The 22,986-nt window shown below is 48.2% G+C and overlaps 1 protein-coding gene across 32 annotated transcripts in view; it reads left to right on the top strand.

Annotated features, from left to right (window-relative positions):
- Nucleotides 1–22,986, top strand: part of NTRK3 (neurotrophic receptor tyrosine kinase 3) — a 396,989-nt gene that overhangs the window by 49,131 nt on the left and 324,872 nt on the right. For 2 of the 32 annotated variants that reach the window (XM_017022243.2, NM_001320135.2), the window contains exon 1: nucleotides 1,635–1,789. Coding sequence is in view for 1 of the 3 variants with exons in the window: in XM_017022241.2 (XP_016877730.1) it covers nucleotides 17,502–17,563 (62 nt within the window). In the remaining 2 variants the exon portion in view is untranslated. 32 annotated transcript variants of the gene reach the window in all.

Below are 22,986 nucleotides of genomic sequence, written 5' to 3'. Positions count from 1 at the left end.
CAGGATATCCTTCTCCAGAGAAAAAAGCTCTTGTCCCCCTAATATACTGCTTTGCCACCTGAGTCTCTGTGACTGGATGAGGCCACAGTGATAGCACATAACCTGCTTCAACAGGACAGCTGTGTGTATTTCATCTTGAACTCTTCAGATAGATTTAACAGAAGCTTTTGGAGGAATTGGGATTGTGTTTGAGAAACGATGTAGTAAGGGTGTGTTTGGGCTCTGGGCAGGAAGTCAGAAGGTGTTGGGGGGAAAGAGTGACATCTGTGGGTAGCTCAGTTGTCCTGACTGCCTCAGCACTGAAGACAGTTCCACCACCCAGCTCATGGGACAACTATCCCCGCAGTGCCATCCTGGAGGCAGGTGCCTGGGGACTCGCTGGAGGCAGGTAATATAATAGTCCCAGCAATCACCTTCTCATGAAACCAGCCTGTTAGGGTCAAGCAACCTGACAAATACCATTGAGCTCCTGGCCCGAGGGCTGGGGATGCAGCCAGGAATAAAACAGGCCCTGATGGACCCACAATGTCGGGGCGGAGCTAGACGCTAAGCCAGTGACTCCGAGTTTGACTGTGAATTCCCTGAAGGAGGAACAGAAGGTTCTGGGTAATGTAGACCTGGGGCGCTGACCAAGCCTGGGCCTGGGGGTCCCTGAGGAAGCACATTTCCCCTGAGACTTGAAGGAGTTGACCAGGGGCAATGGTGTGTCTGGGGACAGTCTCAGGGAGAAGCACCAGCAGACACTAACAAAGGCCCTGCGTGGGGCCTCCGATGCAGAGACAGATGGCTGTGGCTGCAGGGCTATGGCCGAGGTGGGAGCAGGGAAAGGAGCTGTGAGCCAGGAAAGACCCGGCCCCGCCCGCCTGGCCACTGTAAGGAGTGTGGGTTTCTCCTCAGAACCAGGACTCTTTGAGGTTTCTGGAGAGGTTTGTTTTTTTTTTTTTTTTTTTCGAGACGGAGTCTTGCTCTGTCGCCCAGGCCGGAGTGCAGTGGCGCAATCTCGGCTCACTGCAAGCTCCGCCTCCCGGGTTCGCGCCATTCTCCTGCCTCAGCCTCCTGAGTAGCTGGGACTACAGGCGCCCGCCACCGCGCCCGGCTAATTTTTTGTATTTTTAGTAGAGACGGGGTTTCACCGTGTTAGCCAGGATGGTCTCCATCTCCTGACCTCGTGATCCGCCCGCCTCGGCCTTCCAAAGTGCTGGGATTACAGGCGTGAGCCACCGCGCCCGGCCTGTTTTTTTGTTTGTTTTTTGGTTTTTTTTTTTGAGATGGAGTCTCGCTGTCGCCCAGGCTGGAGTGCAGTGGCGCGATCTCGGCTCACTGCAGGCTCCGCCCCCCGGGGTTCGCGCTATTCTCCTGCCTCAGCCTCTTGAGTAGCTGGGACTACAGGTGCCCGCCACCTCGCCCGGCTAATTTTTTTTTTTTGTATTTTTAGTAGAGACGGGGTTTCACCGTGTTAGCCAGGATGGTCTCCATCTCCTGACCTCGTGATCCGCCCGCCTCGGCCTCCCAAAGTGCTGGGATGACAGGCGTGAGCCACCGCGCCCGGCCTCTGGAGAGTTTTAATAAGTGTCTTCCAAGGCATCTCTAGCTGCTGTGGGGAATGGATTAGAAAAGGCGGCTGAGCAGATCCCGGAAGATGAGGTCGGCAGCTGTTGCAACTGGACCCCTCTTCATTAAGCTGTCCACATTCATAAGGCACACTCCAGGTCTGCAGGAGGGAGCATGAGGGATTCAGGGGACGCCCTTGTCCCCTGTACACACCTAGGGGCCGGTTCGACTACAGTAGGTAGGTCAGGGTTATGGGAGACTCTGTTCAGCCTGTGTGCCTTCCCATCCCCAAAGTCCTTAGGAGCCTTCTCTTGTAGTCAGGCCCGCCATTTTATTTATTCAGGGCCTGGAGAACGAGTAGGGGCCAAACCGGGGTGAGAGGGCTGACCCTGGAGTCACCGTTTTGGGGGCTTAGGATAGCCCTTGTTCAGAAGCGGGCTGTGTGCAGTTGGGTTACCTTTCAGTGCTCAGGAAATAGAGGGCTGTGGCTGGCTGGCTTCCTGTATCCCTAGGATGATATACCAGAGCTCATGTCTGTAGAAGTTTGTAGCCTCCTAGGAAGAGATCTGTGGCAGATCATGTAATAAGTGTGATTTCACGTAAGCATCGCTGCCATGCTGGGCTCTTGGACCTCTGTGGGACCTTGGGGAGATGCTTGCAGGAGAGGCCTCAAAGGCCTGGCTGGTGAGATGGGAGGGTCTGAGAGCCGAGGCCCACGTAGGCCAGTCTGGGCGGTGGACACATTCTGGCTTGCGGTTTCCCCATGCTCTCTTGAACCAGGGAAGTCTGTCATCCCTTGTGTTTCTCACCCCACACGGACACTAAGGCATCAAGGCTCCAGCTGAAATGCATTTTAAACCCTGAATCCAGATCCCTCGTCTTCCCACCATATACAGAACCACATGCTAAGCTTAGCAGCAGGGGGAGAAAATCACTTTTTATGAACGTCACTGTCAGCCCTGGATTGTTTTCTTCTTTCTCTCCAATTTCTCAGCACTCCTGAGAATGCTGATTTTCCTGGTAGGAAGGGCAGGACTGATGTGGGATATTGCCCAGACTGTAACAAGAATCTCAGAAACGCATCATCTTTCCCATCATATTCCTTTCCTTTTCCCTCACCTCCTGTCAAAGTGGTTTGATCCAACTGAGTTTGATCCAATGGGAGAGGGGCTTGTACCTCACCACTCAGGTAGCCCTGCTCTGCTGAGAGGTGACACCTGATGAATGTGCCTGAGCCAGAGACTGTGCCCAGCAGGTGGCACGCCCCCAGTGAATATTTGTCCAGTGACTGCAGCCTCGCTTCCCTTCACCAGCAGGTCTGGATGTATGGAATGAGAGTCTGTGGCTTGGGCGGGCTCCCATTCTCACACCTTTATGTAACTGATTAGTTCATCCAGAAAGAATTTTTAACACCTCCTAGGGTGCAAGCAGGGTGCAAAGGAAAGGGCCTTTCTGAGGGGAGAAAAGATACACCCACAAAAACTCTGATCCCAAAACAGACTGTGATAAGGCTGGAAGGAGAACCTGGCCAAGGATCAGGGCATCAAAGGAAGAGTTTGTAGAGTGAGCAGCATTAGAAATGGCTGATTGTAGGAGTAGAAGTGATCAAAATCTGGCTTCCCTACATTTCTATAATGTGTTATCGTTAATTGTGATTTTTTTATAGACAGTGGCTTGTTGAATCATCTCAAGAACTCTGTGAAATAGGCAAGACTTTTTTTTAATTTTTCAAGTTAGAAGGTAATAGGGGAGAGAGTATGCCAGAAGGAGAGAAATCCCAAGACTGGCGAGAGCAGGTGTCTGAAAGGCATTAGATTGTTGGGATTAAGAGCAACTGCTGCGGAATCCAATGGAGGAGAGAGTTTGTATCTGGACTTCACTTAAAAAATTACCTTTGCTTGACTAACACAAGAACAGAAAACCAGACACCACATGTTCTCACTCATAAGTGGGAGTTGAACAATGAGAACACACGGACACAAGGAGAGGAACATCACACACTGGGGCCTGTTGGCAGGTGGGGAGAAAGGGGAGGGAGAGCGTTAGGACAAATACCTAATGCATGTGAGGCTTAAAATGTAGATGATGGGTTGATAGGTGCAGCAAACCACCATGGCATATGTATACCCGTGTAACAAACCTGCACATTCTGCACATGTATCCCTGAACTTAAAGTAACATTTAAAAAAATTATCTTTGCTTTTTTTTAAAAAAATTATTTTTATTGATACATAATAGACATACATATTTTGGGGTACATGTGATAATCTAATACATTCGTATAATGTGTAAAGATCAAATCAGGGTTATTGGGATAGCCATCACCTTAAATATTTATCTTTTCTTTATTCTAGGAACATTTGAATTACTTTCTTCTCGCTATTTGGAAATGTACAATAGATTAATGTGAACTATAGTCACCCTACTGATCTATTGAACATTAGGTCTTATTTCTTCCATCTAACTGTATATCCATACCCAATAATCAACCTCTTTTAGCCGTGTGAGGTTTGAGAAGGTCGCTCAACCTCTTGGTGCCTTTCATTTATAAACAAGAATGATAAAACCTGTTCGTTAGGGTGGTTATGGGATTGAAATGAGATTAGGGGGGTAAATGCAGAGACTGACACACAGTAAAAGCTCAAACAGTGCAACTCTTTATTCTTTTAAGTGGATTATTGGGGTCTGAGTCATGCGGTAGGAGACAGAGCTGGAAAGACACACATGGGTTCCCATGTGTAGCAGCTGGTAGACAAAAAGGTGTCTTAGTTTGGGAATCCCTAGAAGCAGATCCTGAGAGAAATATTCAAGGGCAAGTGATTTATGTGGGAAGTAATCTCAGGACTTCTAGGTAGGGGAATGGGGAACTGAGATGGGAAGTCAGGAAGAGTGTGTACCGAGCTAGCAATCACTGTGGGAAACTGGATCTGGGATATTTGTCCGCCATCATTGCTAGGAGGGCTGCTCCTGGGGTATTAAGCCCTGCAGACACTTGGCCCACTCCAGAGAAAGCTCTCAGGAAGAGAGAAGCAGGTGCTGGCCACTGGGAGCCAGCTAGCATCAAAAAGTGGGAAGGTCTGAGGGACATCAGTGGGACACACAGAGTGTTTGCTTGGCAAGATTTGCAGTGTCTCATCCAGCCCCTGCCCAACCAGATTCTCCTGCTGGCCAGTGGCATTTTACTTCCTAGGGAATCAGCAATGCTAGTTTTCCTTCTTTATCTTCTGGTCTTTGGTCTTGTTAGTTCTGGGATCTCACGTTTGTGGGAAACAAGACTCATGGGTCACACTCAGCCTTTGGACACACAGGTGTGGATGCTCTCCTTGGCAACATCCTTCTCTCCAGGACAGCACTCTGTGCAGCTGCACAGGTCATGGTGAGGAGATGGGCTTGAATGGAAACTTGCAGGCAGCCTCTGAGGAATCCTAGGACAGGAACAGGTCTGGGGCCCAACTGGCCACACCCTGAAGATGGACATGAATGGGTCGCTTAGTCAAAAGGGCATCTGTATCTCCATAACTCCCCCAAATGACTGTCTGGAGCACACAGCTGAGCACGGGACAGCTTTCAGAAACACTGACTCACTTTTTGGGTTCTTTGAGGTTTCTGCTTTAGAGAATGGGGCATTCTGCCTGTTGCTGCCAACTATGACTTCACACTGCACAGAGCAGCTGGCTGGGAGAGGAGCCCTGTCTCCCAAATGTGGAGATGAATGATTGAAGGGAAAGGCCAGGAGAGAAAGTCAGTGAAGTGGGGGAGATGTCGAACGGAAGTGAAGTTGAAAGAGCCTGAGCAAGGCTGCTGAGATACAGGCTGGTGGAGAAAAAAGCCCCTCGTGCCTCCCCGCTTAGGATTGGATTAGCTAGGAGAAGACCTGGAAGGCAAGAAACGAAGACCAGGAGGAAGGCTCCTGCAGGTTTTGGCCAGCAGTAGTCAGCTGGAGAATGGCTATTAACAGCTGTTTGGGGGTCCTAATCTGTGGAACCCTGACCTTCTTCAGAGGAAAATAGATCTTCACATTTAGGCCTTGATGTAGTCTTTTTTTTTTAGGAATCCAGACCTGTTGGAAGGGCACCATCTATGACAAAGAAATGAGGGAGGAAATAGAAGAGAGAGTGACTTGGAACATCATTCAAATGTATTTTATAAAGTTGTTATCAGTAAGAAGAGCTCTGTATGCCCTATGCAAGCATTTATTCCAGGGGTGTGAAAAGAACCCCTTATGAGCAGACCCAGTGGACAGGGGCTCCTTGGCAAACAGGCAGTTTCCATTAAGAAAAAGCCCAACATCATGGTGGCCTGGCCCTGTGTTCTGAAGTATTCGGACCCCAAGACATCTGCAGGCAGGGCTAGCACCTCACAGTTTTAAGTACAGGGAACAGCAGAGACTCAACCTTCTCTGCTGGGAGGAATGGCCTTTGTGTCCAGATGGCGTGAATTGGGAGTGTTTTCCTCAGGGATCATTTGCACCTTAACCTCTCTGCACTCCTGTAGCATGTACGAGGTGTGCAGGAGGAGAGGGTTTGTTGTCACACAGGTTCCTTGAGAGTCTGAGCTGAAGACTACTGTGAAGTTTATTACCATTATAGAATTCAGATGCAAGTCCTGTGCTGGCCTAGGTTTTGAATTCTTGAATTGCACATGATATGGTGGCTTCACACACCCTTAGAACCGAGGGACAACACCCATGAGACCCGTGGGTGGTAGGTGTCTGCACACTTGTAAATGCAGCTTTTAGTCATTTTGAATTACCAATGGCATGCTGGTGAGGAAAAGGAATAAAACTATCAATAGGTGGGCTCAGGTCAAAGGGAAACTAACCAGCTGCTGGGCTGGTCCCCAGAGTCTAGCCAGCACTCCCATTCCAACATATCATGGTGGGTAAGATATCAGGGCTTGAATCTGATTGGGACTGGTCTGGCTGACCGTGGTGCCTAATGTGGTGGATCTGGGAAGCACTCCTGTTGTTAACCGAAAATTAATAATGCGGCGTAGACAGGGATCTACATGGTTTGAGATTGGTCCATGAGCCATTAGCAAGATGCTGATGAGAAAGTGTGAGCAGGACTTGAGTCCCTCTGCCAGGAAAAGGAAAGATGATGGTGTGCTCGCTGCATTGTTAGAGCCTAGCTGAGCAGCTGGGATTTGGGCAGAGCTCTTGTCCCAGATTTTCAGCATCTCATTGAAGTGGCAATCAGAGCCTGTGATAGAGACCCTGTCATATTGCTAAGGCGCTTCCAGTAGGCTTGGAGGGAGGGCTGCAGCTTGGTGGTTGTATTAGTCTGTTCTCCCACTGCTATAAAGAACTGCCTGAGACTGGGTAATTTATAAAGGAAAGAGGTTTAATTGACCCACAGTTCCACATGGCTGGGGAGGCTTCAGGAAACTTACAGTCATGGCAGAAGGGGAAGCAAAAACATCCTTCTTCACATGGTGGCAGGAAGGAGAAGTGCTGAGCAAAGAGGGAAGAGCCCCTTATAAAACCATCAGATCTTGTGAGAACTCACCCATTATCACGAGAACAGCATGAAGGTAATTGCCCCATGATTCAATTACCTCCCACAGGGTCCCTTCCATGACACGTGGGGATTATGGGAACTACAACTCAAGATGAGATTTGGGTGGGGGCACAGCCAAACCATATCAGTGGTGCAGGAGGGGAAATCTCTCCAGGAACACCAGATGCCAGGCAGAGGGAGCTGGCACATAGTAGGTGCTTATAAATAAATGAAGTGGAGTTCCAGGCCATACCTGCTGTTGGGATTAGGCCTGGATAAATCAGCCTGACCTAGGCTTGGGAGAAGTTGAACCCACTGAGTAAAGATGCTCTAGGTTGGCGGCCAGTCCGGGCAGGTGGGAACTGATGAGTGGCTTCTGGCCATTGAGTCCTTCTTTGTGGTGAATGCAGGGGGACATGAGTGAGCTCTGTAACCAGAGGCTCAGAGCCTGGGCTCAATCATGCTCCCAATTTATTCACGGTCACCCACTATCTGGACTGCCATGGGCTGTGCCTCTTCCTTGTGCATAGTGTGAGAAGAGAGCTGATTGGGGTTGGACGTGAGAATCCTGGTGTGTTCTGGCTCTGACTCCCCTGACTCCCACCTGTAGGTTTTTCCTTCTCTTTACTCAGTGGGCACCAGCACCACTTCCTTTCTTGGAAGTGGTGGCCCAGGCTGTCCTGCTGAACTCCATTTCAGGAGCCAGCTGTGAGGTTCTACATTCCCAAGCCCCTGGGATCTTTGAGTAAACTCTGCTGCTACTGGCCTAGAGAGGAGGAATGCTTGCAGGGGTGAGGGCCAAAGACTGGGTCTCCCCAGACACTTTCCCCGGTGCTGGAGTTAAGGGCACAGACACCACTTTGACCTTGAGGTTTCCACTTTGTGCAGCGCAGAAGGTCAGTCCCAGGAGATGTGCTCCACCAGTCTCCCTAGAAGAGGGGCGGTTAGAGTCTTTGTTGCATTCCCCTGTCCTGCCCCACTATGGGACTCCTGGGATGGTGCCTTGGGCCTCCCTTCACTAATTTGGACAATTCCTTTCAGGATATTAAATGTTCTTGCCCAAGGGTGAAGCTGACAGCTCTGGGAAGGAGAACTCCTGCTGCATCCATGCAACATTTACTAGGGCTTTTTAGGAGCCAGGAGCCCCATTTGGCACCAGGGATGCAGAGATAAAAGACATAGTCCCTGCCCCAAGGATCATGGAGTCTTGTGGAGGAGATAGGCTTGTCAAAGAGTACCGGACGACATGATGAGTGTCCTGGGAGAGGTGCAGGCTCTGTTTGGAGTGGACTCTCACCAGCTCACATCAGTTAAAGCCTGGAAGTTGTGAAAGTAGTGAACTACTTCCATAATAAAGGGTAAATATTTGCTCCCTGAGCCCCCCAAGTGATGATGCCCAATATTCCAGTCTACCAGCCATTCCAGCCTGATACCTCCTTCTCCCCACCCCACCCTGTCCCTGGATCCAGGAACTAAGGATCAGTGCCTGGCTTAGGATGTGATGTCCATTTGGTCCTGAGTTTGTGCTCTATGAAGTGTTACTTGTCTCAAATATCAGCCCTAGTTCCATGATGGACAGCACAGCAGAGAAATTTGTGACTGAGAAACAGGGGGCCAAGGAAGGCTTTCCAAAGGCGAGGACATCCTGGCTGAGTTGTGCAGGATGAGACTCTGAGGAGTGTGTGTCAGTCAGCATCTCTCCTCAGCTCTCTGTTTTGTGCTTCTTGGGCCCTTGGCATTGGACCTCAGCCCTGTCCCAGGCTACTTAGACAGCTCTTTCCCACTGCAGGTTGGAGCCCACCTGGTCCCAGCTTCAAGGAGAAGCTTCTGGGAATTTCTGCAAGGTCTGAATGCTTACTGAGCGCAGAACTGAGCATGGGGCACGAGGAGGGTGAACAAAATAAATAGAATGCAGCAGACTTTGTTGTCAAGGAATTTATGCTCTCACAAGGGAAGCCAGGCAGATAATGCCTAGACACACAGGTGACAGGATTACATACATACATCAGCAGCCACCTAGAAAAATTTCTCAGGAATTAGAGGGTGAGGCTGGGATCACTGAGTGACTGTGACTGGGTGGCGATGGTTTGTTAAAAGCTTAGGGGAGAGGAAGATGTGGCACTTTGGAACCCCAGGAGGAGACATTCAGCTCCACTGACATTCTGAGTACCCAGAGGTGGGCAGGGAGAGGCACCATGGCTCAGAGGACACTGGAGGGAACCATATCTGGGCAGCCAGGGCTTTGTTTGGCTGACTTGTAAAGTGCAGGCTGGGTTATGAGAGGAGGAGGAAGCAGTGGGTAAGGATGGGAAGGGGGTGGCTGGGAAGAGTCTCACACTACACGTCTGTCACAGCCTCAGCCACTGAAGCTACAAGTAGGGTTACCCTCCCTGCCATGGTGGCCCCAGTCCTGACCTCAATTCCTGCCCAACCCGAGGATTGCTTTTCTTTTTGAAGAGGAAAATAAACATTCTTTGAGCCCTAGCATATTTCAGGGAATGTGCTAGGGCTTTTTACAAACACTATTTTAGTTCATTGTTATGATGCCTCCATGAGTTCAGCATCATTATCTCTATTTTACAGATAAGGAAACTGAGGCCATGGGAGATCACCTAGCTTGTCAGTGACAGACTGGAAAGTGAAGCTCAGTGCTGACCCCAAAGCTGTTATTTTTTTTCATTATAACAAACCGCTTCCAAAAATAGTACAGGGAAGAACCAGAGGGGAGACGGCATGATGATGCCTGGCAGGTGGATTTCTCTGTAGAAGTAAGCACACCTCCCTGGAGTAGCTTGATGTTTTATTTTCTTTGAGAAAAAGATGAGGACACATGGGGACAGGAAGAATGAGAGTCACAAAAGCCATTTACACAGGTCCCATTAGCAACCCCCTTTCCTCTCAGCTTCCAGCTGGATTCAAGCCTCAGGAAAGCATCTCAGTAGTGCAATGGTTTGGACACGGGAAACAGAGAAAAAGTTGCTTCTGTCCTCAAAGGGTCTGTAGCTCTGTTTATAGTCCCTTCTCCTCAGTTTCAGATTTCCTGCAGGCTTAAGGCTTCCTAATAGAAGTTTGGTTTGGTGTGAGGCGTTTGATAGCCATTGGGATGTCTTGGGCCTGTAGGGGACATGATCGATGTCATCTTTGTAAAAAATGGAGCCTAGAACAAGTTAGCACTCAAAGAATGAAAGCTGAAAGGGTTGCTAAGAGGTCCTCCTATCCTTCTGGGCATGAGGCTGTCTAAGATAGAAGCTGTAGAAATAAAAAGACAAGGGAAGTTACTTGCAATATCAGGAAGGAGGGACTGATGGGACTTGAATCTGAGAAAGAAAAGACCTCACAGAGCCTTTTGAGTAGATGTGGTCAATGGATGATACTTTCATGGTCCTTCCATGTACTGTGCCCAGGGCAGACATCACTAATCAATCACAGAGGTTTTTTTTTTTTTTTTTTTTTTTTTTTTTTTTTGTCCTGCTCAACCATAGACCTCTTCTAATCACAGCACTCTGTGTTAGCTCTTGCCAACCCACTAGTATTGTACATAAGTTAAAATTGACTGACCATCTCTGCTGCCATGTTTCAAGTCAGGAGTACTCATTGAAGGTAGTTTGGGAAAGTTCAGGTGGGAAGAGTGAGCCATTCTGTCCATATTTGCTCTTTAGAGTTCAGGGGAATGCATATTGTGATAACAAGAACTTCAGGACAGGAGACAGGTTAGGCATCAAGGGTAGAGCTGTAGAACTAGAATCAATCTCTAATTAGGCAGTAATTGAAGTCATGTGAATGGAGAGATGCCTTCCCAGAGGGTGAGTATATGAGGAAGAGAACAGATGGTTTATTGCTGGAGGAAAGGAATTGGGTGGCAATGATGAAGTAAGGGAGAGAAAAGCGAACAAGAGAGAAACCTGCATTTCCTTCACTTGGGTGAGGAAGGCTACTGCTCCAGCTCCTTAAATGGAGCCCTCTGGAACCTTCAGAAATTCCAGAGCTGGTTTCCTTACAGATAACAAGGGTGAATATCATTTCCTCCCTTTCAGGCCCCAGATGTAAGTAGGTGTTCCTCTCAGTGCTCAGGTCTTACAGGAGCTGGCCCTGGGGCCTGCCTCCCTCCTGCAGCCCCTGCTCCACATTCTTCTGCAGCCCCCATCCCAGCCCACCCTTCCTTCTTCATCCTGTGACTTCTCTCTTCTTCACTGTGCCTCGGTCGCATCCCGGCTTGCTGTGCACGAAAGAGAGGGCCAGGCATCACAAATGTGATCTTGTCTTTCTGATGCTTACCTTGACTAATCACACTGACACCCTCAGGTTCTGGGATAATTATTCCTGCAAAGTCAAGGACTCCCTTTCCTCCTAGTGACCTGAACTTACCCTCTAACAATGAAAATGCCCCAAGCTTTGGAGCGACTTTTCTGCATTAACTCTGAGGCAGAGTTGCAGTGAGAAAATCTACCCTTTTAATGGGCGAAAATATTGCCCTCATAAGTCTTTATGCAATGCACTTGAGCTTAATGCTCACTCACCAATTCGCCTTTATAACTTCCATATTGAGTGAATTAAGTCCTCCATGCGGGTAGTTATTAAAGAAGTGATAAGTGCTTTATAATTCAGTAAAGGGTGGCCTGGCCATTTCATATTTTCCTAAGGAAATTGGCCACCCAAAGGGCAGCATTCTCAGAACCCCTGGGGCCAGCTGATTTTAGGCACAGAGCTCGCACTATTGGATTACTTTCAAGCCAGCTGCTCAGGCCTGGACCAAACTCCTTCTCACTCAGGCTTTTCCCCCCAAGACCCCTTGGGGAGTAAGGGTCAAAATCAATGTCTGTCTCCCTGCCCGAGGCTGTTTTTACTCTTGATCAAAGGCCTCCATTTTCTCCCCTGGTTCAAAGCTAAGATGCCTAGTAAGGATCAGAGGTTTTATAATCAACATGATTTGATTCTCATTTGTAGACAGGAGGAGACTTTCTCCAAGGGGCTACAAGGGTTCCACCCCTCTGACCCCAATCCCATGGGCACAGCTTGCTCCTTTATGCTTTAGACTCTTCAAGTGGTTGGAAAAAGTGCTGTCCCAATCAAGACCTTGGTAACCACAGATTTTTCATGACTTGTTGAGAGGTCACAGGGTTCTGAGGAGGGACAGTCATTTATTAATTTGTTTATTTAAAATTTCTACTATGTACCGGGAACTTGGATGAGTGCTGCAGATACAATAGTGAATAAGACAGGTTGCCTGCCTTCAGGGAGCCTGCAATGCATTAGGAGAGAGACACAATAAACAAGTGAACACATAGGTGACATAATCAGAGGTTTTGGTAAGTGATAATAAATGAGTTATCTAGAGCATCATTTCTCAACCTTAGCGCTACTGATATTTTGGAATGGATAATTCTCTGTTGGGGGTGGGGGCTGTCTTGTGCATTGTAGGAGATTAATAACATCTCTGGCCTCACCCCGCTAGACACCAGTGGCACCGCCCCAATAGTGACAATCAAAACTGATGTCTTCAGACAACCCAAGCCTGGGGGGCACAGTCCGCCCCTGACTTGAGCATGAGCACTATTGATCTAGAGGAAGGTTCAGAGAATGACCCTAGCTAGGTTGGTCAGGGAAGGCTTCTCTGGAGAAGTGACATTTCAAAAGAATCCTGAAGCTGCTGTCTTGGCCGAGGGAAAAATAAATGCGAAGGTCCTGAGAGGAGACCAGTGAGGCTGAAGTCAAGTGAATAAAGAGAGAGGGAGGTTTCAGCTGAGGAGGGAATGGCATATGTTACATGAGGAAGGATCCTGCTGGTCATGGTGGAGTCAGAATTTTCCCCCAAGTCCAAGTGCAGGAGAAGCCACTAGAGGTTTTTTGTTTGTTTTGGTGGAGGGCATGATTAAATTTATATTCCAACTAATTCATTGGGGTTTCTGTGTGGAGGACAGATTTTAATTGGGCCGCAGTGGAAACAGTAGTCATGTTTTGGAGGCAGGGGTCTTTATGAAAGGTGATGGTGGCCTGGACGCAGGTGATAATAGTGGATGTGGCAAGAAGTAGATAGAGTTGAAGGGTAGAATCAATGACAGGGTTTGTCTGGGACAACTCCATGATACCAGTGTCATTTATTGATATGGAGACAGCTCACTGGGAGGAAAGCAGGGGCTGGTATTGGATCTGCTAAGATGTCAGCTAAACATCTGGAGCTCAGGGAAAGTTCTGCCAGAGATGCACATTTGAGTGCTATCAGCACAAGGACGGCGCTCAGAGCAGAGCACTTGGGGGAGATCACCTTGGCACATGAGAGAGGAAGTGAATAGAGGAGCCCCAGGCTCCCTGGGAGACTCCAACATTTAAGGATCAGGCAAAGAATACGACATCAGCGAAGGAGCCTAAGAAAGAATATCCAGAGAGTAGAAAGAAACCCAGGAGAGAGTGTAGTCAAGGAAGCCAGAGAGGAAAGAATGTTTCAAGGAAGAAAGAGTGGTTAACAGGGTAAAATGCTACCCAGAGATTGAATAATGGGTGACAGAGAAGAGTCGATTGGATTTGCAAACATAAAAATCACTGGTGACCTTGACAGTGCAGTTTCAGTAGAGTAGTAGGATCGAAGACAAACTAGGATGGAGAATCAAAGGGAGGCGAGGAAGAAGGGCCTGCAGGTGTAGACGATTCTTTTAAACCATTTGCCATAAAGAGGCGTAGACACATGAGTTGGTAGCTGGAGGAGGACATGGAGTCAAGGAGGTTTTTTTTCTTTTTGTAGATGAGCTTTCCTAAAACATGTTTATATGTTGATGGAAAAACATAGCAGAGAGACAGTTGAGGGTAGAGAAGAGGAAGAGAAAAAATGAATATGTTCCTGAGAAGGTGGGAAAGGTTGAGGCCGGGTAGAAAGTCCACATGGGAAGCTGATAGCTAAATGGTTAAGGTCTGACATTGATCCCTTTGGGGATTCGTTCATTTATTCGCCTAGTGGTCACTATTTGCATAACACTGGAACCACAGCCTCCTGGCCTTGCCCTTAGAAAACTCATGCTTTGGTGAAGGCCATAGTCATGTAGGGACAGGAAAGGTGGAAAAGATGTGCCTGGGTGCCAAGGACATTTCTGCTTCCTCTTCGTTTGGTGTGTAGGGCCCTCCTACTTCCCCACTGCTGACCCTGACAGTGGACATCAAGCTGAGACCTGGGCCTGGGAGGGAGCTCTGGATATGGGGCCCTTGAGACCTCTGAGATCACCTTCCCCTTGCTGCTGTGCCCTGCAGTTATGCCTCCAGCATGCCTGTCCCTGGGTGGGATGTTCAGTGGTGTGCTCGGGGCCACAGCTCTCCCCAGAGATCAAGTTCAGGGTGCCTGTAGGGTCAGACCAGGGCCCTGGGCTGCTCAGGGGGCCAGGGTGAGGGCCGTGCAGGTACTGAGGGTGGAGATCCTCTGGCAGTGAGGTGGGGCAGCTGGGTGGCTACATAGTACCGCCCTGGATGGCTTTCCAGGTGTATACTTACTCAGGGGTGGTGCCCCAATTTAAGATTCTGGGGGTGAGTAAATGGTGAGTAAGACAGATATGATCTCTGTTCTCATGCATTATGGTTCTAATGTAGAGACACTGATGACAAACACATAATCAAATAATCTAATAAGACAATTACAGATGGTTATTAAGGGCTGTGAAGGACATAAACAGGCGTTTGTGCCAGAGAGCAACTGGAGGGGAAATGCAGGGGCTGCTAACACAGTGGGGTCAGGGCAGGCTTCTCCGAGAAGGTGATTTTTGAGTGGAGATCTGAGGGATTGAAAGAAGCCAGGGATGAGTGTTTCACGTAGGAGGTCCAGTTGGGAATAAGCTTGGCATATTTAAAGACCAGAAGCAGGACAGTGTGACTGGAGCCCACAAAACAAGGGGAGTGTGTTCAGAGAAGGAGCCCTAGAGGCATCTGGTGGCCAGCTTGTGCAGGACCTTGAGGGTGGCTTCCAGTGATGTCTGGACATCACTGGATTTTATTGTCATAGCCAAAGGAAGCCATTGGAGGGTTTTAGGCAGGAGAGAGTGGTTGCAATAATGTAGATTGTTGAAGAGGGAAAGCAGGGAGGCCAGGTAGGAGGGGATGCTTGTTCTCCGGGTTAGAATAGGTGGTGGTTACCGGGAGCATTGATGTGTAGGCAAGCTGGGGTTGCCATCCTGTGCCAGCCCAGGCAGCAGCAGTAAAAATAGAAGCAGATAGGCTGGGGAGGGGTAGGATAGGAGGCCACAGGCTGGGGTTCAGCCACAATGGCCTGGACTCCCCAGTGAACTGGCTGGCTCCCAGGTGAAATCTCGCTCCTGGGAGTTAGCCCTTTTCTTAGTGGGGTAGCAGTGAAGATGTGCCCTTGATCTTTTCCTGTTAGGAGACACAGCATCTTTGCACCTGCAGAACACAGGTGTGTGCACAAACGTTCTTCATTCCTGGCACAATACTTTGGAATTGATCAGGAAGCCAGCACAGATGCTGTCGTCTTCCATCTGTTTGCTGCATGATCTGAATGTTCCTTTCTGTGGTCCCAGGGGTGGCCCCAGATGCGGGGCTGGTTCACCGTGGTCCTTGGCGCACAGCTGCTTGTAGGCTTGTGTGCTAACGTGCTGGCATGCTGGGGTCACCGGCACAAGCCGTCCCAACCCCTGGCTGCCTGGGGCTCTCAGGTCTGGCTCCCCAGGCATCTAGCACACTGTCCCCCACAACAGCTGTCAAGGGAGGGAGAGCCAGGTGACTTGGCTAGCGTGATCCCATGCGCTCCTTCCCAGCCCCCTTGATGCCTTAGCACCATGGAGCTGTTGCTCCAGACGGTTTGTTTATGATGCTAAACATATCAGATAATTGAAAGCTAATGTTGCTGTCTGGATCACTAGACATAATACGCCTGGATAACAAATCAATTTCCTCATTGCCCTACAAGGCTTCGGAGTCAAAAGCGCGGCACATTGTGCGTGTGTGTGCACACGTGCATTCATGCGTGTGTGTGCTCCAATGCTGACTTGTTAGGAAATGGAATTCCAGACTAGCTTCTGCAGGCACTAGCTGGAGAGAAGGGACACCTGTATGCAATCTTGTTTTTGAAGCTTTTGAATTTTGTGTTGGAGGAGTAGAGTACTCACATATAAAAAACATCCGGAGGCCTAGGCAGGCTGATTGCTTGAGGCCAGGATTTCGCAACCAGCCTGGCCAACATGGTATAACCCTGTCTCTACTAAAAATACAAAAATCAGCCAGGCGTGGTGACACATGCCTATAGTCCCAGCTACTCGGTAGGCTGAGGCACGAGAATTGCTTGAACCTGGGAGGCAGAGTTTGCAGTGAGCTGAGATCACTGCACTCCAGCCTGGGTGACAGTGAGGCTCTGTGTTAAGACACACACACACACACACACACACACACACACACACACACACACACGGGAAACATCAGCTTCAGCTGCCTCCTGCCAGTATTCTGAACATAATGATAGTGTCGTACGCTTAGGTACCGCCATGTAAATGTGAATTGTGACTGCACCTCCAGGAAAGCTTCACTTAACTGGCAACTTCAGTTATCCAAAAGGGGGAGCAAAACAAAGTCATATGAAAACAAGGGCAAATATCTGCCTATCTGTATGCATGTGCATGTATGTGTGTGTGAATGTTTTCATATTCCCTTAGATCCTATTTACGCTTACTTTACATGCATTTCTAACAATACAAATGGAATCAGCTATTTATTCCACTAGTGCCATGCATCCACAGTGAATTGAGGACTTAGGCATTACCTTCTCTAACCCTCACCACAACTAGTTTTGCTATGGAAAATCTGATGGCTGGAGAAGCTCTAGTAACTGGCCTGAAGGCATCTGGCTTCCGGTGCTAGCGTGTCATCTCCAGGTCAGCCTAATTCCAGGTGCCAGCTCTTACCTATTGGGCTCCAAGAGGCTGCAGAGGATACTGGGCACAGCACATTTGGGAGGGAGGAGGGGCCCTGGGGACAGCTTAAGAGGTGATGGCCTGCAGCCTAATATCAAAAAAAGAGCCAGAAAATAGTTAAAATGGATGCGATAACCGTTGGAATAGGAAGTCATATCAGGGTAGGGCCATTTGTAGTAGGGCTACAAATTCTGCATCCATCAAGAGCTTCTGAGGGTTTTGCTGTGCTACAGCCTGGCAGGCTCATTAGGCTGGTCGTATTGATGTAAGGTCATCAAGAAAATGTAAATCATGATCTGTCTACTCTGTTTAAAAAGGCAAGGATGTGTGTAATGCATTTTAGGTGGAAAAAAGAAACATCCAGCAGGGAAGTTGAAAATGCAAAGGGTTTTGCATTTAAATTTAGTTGTCTGGAAAATTTGGTTATGAAGAAGAGCTCATTAATAGCAGTGAGAAGTCACAGTGAAGATAACAGCAATCTGACAGCCAGAGAGGAGCGGGAAAAGCTTAGAAAAATGAGGCAATACTGGGCCTGCTACCTGTCGAGAAAGGAAGGATGTTCCTAAGTCCCACCGACCGAGTTCCTGTCTTGCCAAGTGCCCAGGGAAGTTCTGCCAGGTAAAGGGTGCCTTGTCCCTGTTGACTTCCTCAATCACCTTAGTCCTCTGGGGTTAGATGGTGGTGGGCGTCTTTGTGTTCTACAATTTTCTGCATAGGAGAGGAGTAAACATGAAACATTAAATATTGAAGGTAGAAACAACTCTTAAACATATCCACATGACATATTTTTAATTAAAATATGGACCACACATTCTGTACCATCCAATTTTGGAATGCTTGGAGATTGCCAATTCGTTTATCATACTGGCCCAAGCAAAACAGAAGGAAGAAGAGAAAACTGGGGTACAAAAGTACCATCTGGTTGGCAATGGTGGCTCACGCCTGTAATCCCAGCACTTTGGGAGGCCGAGGCAGGTGGATCACCTGAGGTAAGGAGTTTGAGACCAGCCTGGCCAACATGGTGAAAACCTGTCTCTACTAAAAATACAAAATTAGCTGGGTGTGGTGGCACATGTCTGTAATCCCAGCTACTCGGGAGGCTAAGGCAGGAGAATTGCTTGAACCTGGGAGGCAGAGGTTGCAGTGAGCCATTGCACCCCACTGCAGAGGTTGCAGTGAGCCATTGCACTCCAGCCTGGGTGGCAAGAGTGAAACTCCATCTCAAAAAAAAAGAAAAAAAAAAAAGGAATTGCAATCTAATTTATTCTAGCACAAAGAATGTTTGTAGTCCCCATGAATGTATCAATTAATATTTAATTTATGCCATGTCCCATTATAAAAATGGCTATGAAGCAGCTATCTGTGGTCCTAGGTCTCTGGGACCTGGTGTTGCTGTTATGAGTCACTAAGAGTGGGTATGTTTCAGACTGATTTTTTAGAATTGCCAAAGAGACTCTGCATGGCCATTCCCTGACTCCATTTCCCTTCTAAGCCCACCTGGCAGCATCATGAGATCTTGATCCCAGGGGTCTACCTTGACATCACTGAGGTTTTTGAGTTCCTGCCCTAAGCCCGACTCTGACTCTGGAGGTCAATGTCATCATGTATTATGCCCCACTGTCTCCCTCCGTCTGGAAAAGTGGTGCCCAACTAGCTCTTGGCAGAGTAGTGGCTCTGTGGAATGGAAGGGCAGTGGTGAGAGGGTAGGAGCAGGGCATTGAGCTGATTTTCTGAATGGAGCATTTCACATTTCTATGGAATGAAGAGGCATGAGAAATCCAGGAGAGGAACTTTCAGTGGAGAGAAAAGGCTCTTGGCCAGTGGGTTCCAGCCAGAGATGGTGAGAAGAGACCACTGTTGCATCTGGAATGTGTAGCCTGGCTTGGGCCACGGTCCAGCAGGCCAACACACCCCTCATTTCCTCTCAAGAAATGCCTGTGACTTGAGAGGGTCCTGGGAGCTGTGGCTTGCCCATTTTTTCCTCTCACCTGGACTCAGTGACCTAGAGGTAGACTTTTTTGTATTGGCCTGAAGCCTGGTAGTGTTTGCTGCAAAGCAGTCATTTTCAAAATTGATGTTGTTTTAAGCCATGAGACTCTTGCTTTAATAGCCCTCTTAGGCAGAAGCTTTATATAATAAAGCAGGATTTCTCAATCCTGGTGCTGTGGACATTTGGGGCTGATGATTCTTAGCGGTGGGGGCTGTCCTGTGCATTGCAGGATGTTTAGCAACATCTCTAATCTCTACCCACTGTAGGCCATTGTTACTCTCTTTCCCCAGCTGTGACAATCAAAAATGTGTCCAGATATTGTCAAATGTCTGCTGGGGGGCAAAATCGCCTCCCTTTGAGAACCAATGTATTATGAGACTAAAGTGGAGGTAATTTATTTAAAGTAGGAGTGGGCACCTGATGTGCCACCCCTTTGCCCTCTTTCTCCTCCCTCCACTCTCTGTTTCTGATTGAACCAGGACACCCAGATTGAGAGCAGAGCTGCAGGTTCCTGTGGGGGCCATCACCATGCACTCTGCAGAATTGCACAGTCCCTTGGGCATTGCTATAAATTCTTTTCCTCCACAGCGGGAGTGGGTTTGTAAGATGTCCGGGCAGGGATGAGCTGGTCCAGCCTGTGGTCCTGGAACAGGGAAACCAGTCACCGCCCCCACAGGGTTTAGGTGCCTGGCCTGCCTCTAGAAGTTAATAGGTATTGATTTTTTCTTTTTTTTTTTTTTGAGACAGTGTCTCATTGTGTTGTCCACACTGGAGTGCAGTGGTGTGATCTCGGCTCACTGCAGCCTCGGCCTCCCAGATTCAAGCGATTCTCCTGCCTCAGCCTCCTGAGTAGTTGGGATTACAGGCGCCCACCACCATACCTGGCTAATTTTTGTATTTTTAGTAGAGACAGGGTTTCCCCATGTTGGCCAGGCTGGTCTCGAACTCCTGACCATGAATGATCCACCCGCCTCAGCCTCGCAAAGTCTGTTTTGCAGGCAGTATTGATTGATTTTCAAATGACAAAACAAATGCTCAATGAAAACAACCTGTACAGCCCAGAAAATCACAAAAAAGGAGAAGCCACGTGTAATCGTTCTGGGTTGAGATACTCACCATTGACAAAGGCAAACCAAACCTGCTCTTTTACTATATATATATAATATTTTCTAGAGCCTGCCTTTTTCACTGAAAGTGGTGGTCTCCCTAGTAGCACACACACACCAGCCGGCAGAGTCACAACACTGACCTCCTGGTTGGGTACCAAGTGGTGAGTCATAGGAGAACTTGGCAGGTGCCCAGCTGATGCCATCCGGAAATGTCAGGGCCTCATCTTCATCCTCTTGCTCTTCCTCGGAACCTGCTCTGATGTGGCATCTATGCACTCCTTGAACCTGTGTATAAACTCCTGCTGGAACAGTTTTCCTGGAGGCCATGAATGACAGGTTTCCTTCCCCTCCACACTCTGCCACATGGGGTTTTTATCAATGATTGCTGAGACATGACAACTTCCAGCAGAAGCCTGATACCATTTTTAGCTTGAAAACTGAGAACAAGACTGCTCAGTTTCCGTAAGGCACAGGAGGAAAATAATCAGCACAGCCAGCTCTGCCTGAGAACTTACATGTGCCCCACACTGCAAAGGGGTTTTCTTTTTTATCATAGTCTTTTGATCTTCACATCATTCTTACGAGGCAGTTATTTTATTATCCCCATTTAATAGATGAGAAAACTGAGGCACAGACAGAGAAGTAACCTGGACAGGGTCATATAGATAGGGGTACTGGTGGGGCCAGGATATGCATTTTGACCATCAGCTCCTAGGGCAGGAGTCGACAACTGTTTTCTGTAAAGGGCCAGAGAGTAAATATTTCAGGTTTTGCAGGCCATATGGCCTCTGTAGCAACTATTCAGCTCTGTTATTGTAGCTTGAAGAGAGCTATAGATGACAGTAAATGAACAGGTATGAACATGGAAATTTGAATTTCATGTAGTTTTCATGTGTTACAAAATATAATTCTTCTTTTGATTTTTAAAAATGTAAATGCTATTTTTAGCTCTGGGGCTGCAGGAAAGCAGGCAGCGGGCTGTAGCTTGACGACCACTGCCTTAGAGCCCTGACTCCTACCCACACTGTTGCACTGTGGCTACAAAAATGCCATTCCCTGATTTAGGAAAACTCAGACCTACTCAACGGAGGAGGTGGGGACTATTATTCTACTTACCGGAGGACTCTTTGCAGCAAGGAGTTCATTCATTTCTCTGCCATATCTCAGTGCTTGCCTAAGTCAGGGAAGGGTCCGTTTGTGGGCATAAGGACATGAGGGCTGAGAAGGGTAAGGCTTGAGAACATGGTAATGATTGACAACTCAACCGTAACAACACATTTATGGAATTCTAATGTGGGCTGTGAAAAATGATTTCAGTGATTTAAACAATTGGATAAAAGTTGCTTGTTGGGAGCAGATCCTTGTAGGAAGCTGGAGTCCTGTGAATGAGAAGTATTCTGTACAATCATGGTGATCTACTTGGTAATTTACAAAACCCGGGGAATACACTGGGGGACCTGGTGGCACAGATAGTTCTACTCCTCTGGCGCTTTCTTTTCATCTGAAATGTTGCCAGGTTCTCTGCCATGGTGAGACCAGACCACCCAAACTGCCCTGGGGCTGTAAGGCTTCCAGGGAGAACTTTGGCATTGGAATCCAACACCAACCTGGCCACCTGGTCCATGTCCCCAGCAGATGCCAGTGTCTCTGGCTGCTCAGCAGGGACTTTGGGAGAATGTGGTACAAAACAGGTTCTCAGCATACCTTGTCACCGTGTGGCTCTGAAATGCTTCCAGAGGCCCTGGCAGTCATAGTCCTGCTGCCTTGCTGGCTCTGACTCGAGTTGGTGGCAGATGGCAGAGCTACGGGTGTGGTGGTGCTGGGGAGGAGATGTCTGGGGAAGGTGGCTGTCACTTTTCTGGACAGAGTGTGCCTGGGTTAGTTCTGTCCCAGGATGAGCTGTCACCTCTCTGCACTCTTCACTAAGATTGAAGTACTTAGAATTCATGGCCACTGATCAGAGTAAAATCCTGGGAGGATGGGGTGGGCAGTGGAAGGCCTTTTCCCGAGATCCTTTGGTGCCTCTTGGGATCACAGGTGTGTATGAATGGGCACATTCATACACCTTTAGAGCTGCAAAGGGCTTTGATAATTAATAGTGTAATGGTTCTCAACCTGGGGATCCCAAAAGCAGTAATGAGGGGTGTTTGTTTCTGGCATTTGGTCAATACAAAAACAATAAACCCAGAAATCAGATCCATACCCATGACAAGCCTTCTCATGCTGACAGAATGTTGAGTTTCTTTGCTTTGGGCTGGAATTTATGCAGTGGATGAGTTAGCACGGGTTTGTGTCTGTTGATAAAAAGCTCTGGTTAATAGTGATTTATATTGCTGATTAATAAATCCAAGAAGATGAATTAATTAGTAGTTAATAGATGTAGTGTGCTTGCTAGATATAAACCTCCTTAAACATGGGATCTCTTGGGGCAAAGTTCTAAAAGGAGACCTTCATGATGAAAAGGGGAGAAACTGCTGATCCAGTGCAACTCTCCTCTTTTACAAATGAAGACATGAGAGACTCAGAGAGGTGGAAGCACTGGCTCAAAGTCACTGGGTCCTGAAGTCTCAGATGAAGCTAGGGTTTGTGTCCTCCACTGCCAGGTTCCCATTCTTTCCATGACACTCTAGTGGCTCCAGGATCCTTAGGTGGCCCCCACTCTCTGGAGTCAGCTCCACCAAATCAAGCCATTGGTTTTTTGAGCTCCAGGAGGGATTGGGCTGTGGGTCACCCAAAGGGGGCTTCCAGAGTCTAGACCCTGGTGATGCTGGAAGTAGGAGTGTGTCCCTCCTTGGCTATGCCCACTGGCCAGCCGGCCACCCCGTCCTTTTTTAAAGCCATGTCATTTGTATTGTCTTTATGGGCAATAACTAAGGGAAAAAAAAGGCCAGTCCTTAGGAAATTCTGAATAGGAAAAAGAAAGAAGGGGAACAGAGGAAAAC

This window comes from Homo sapiens, chromosome 15 (genome assembly GCF_000001405.40).
Source record: "Homo sapiens chromosome 15, GRCh38.p14 Primary Assembly".
NCBI classification, from domain to species: Eukaryota; Metazoa; Chordata; class Mammalia; order Primates; family Hominidae; genus Homo; species Homo sapiens.
This window is presented reverse-complemented; position numbering and strand designations above follow the sequence as displayed.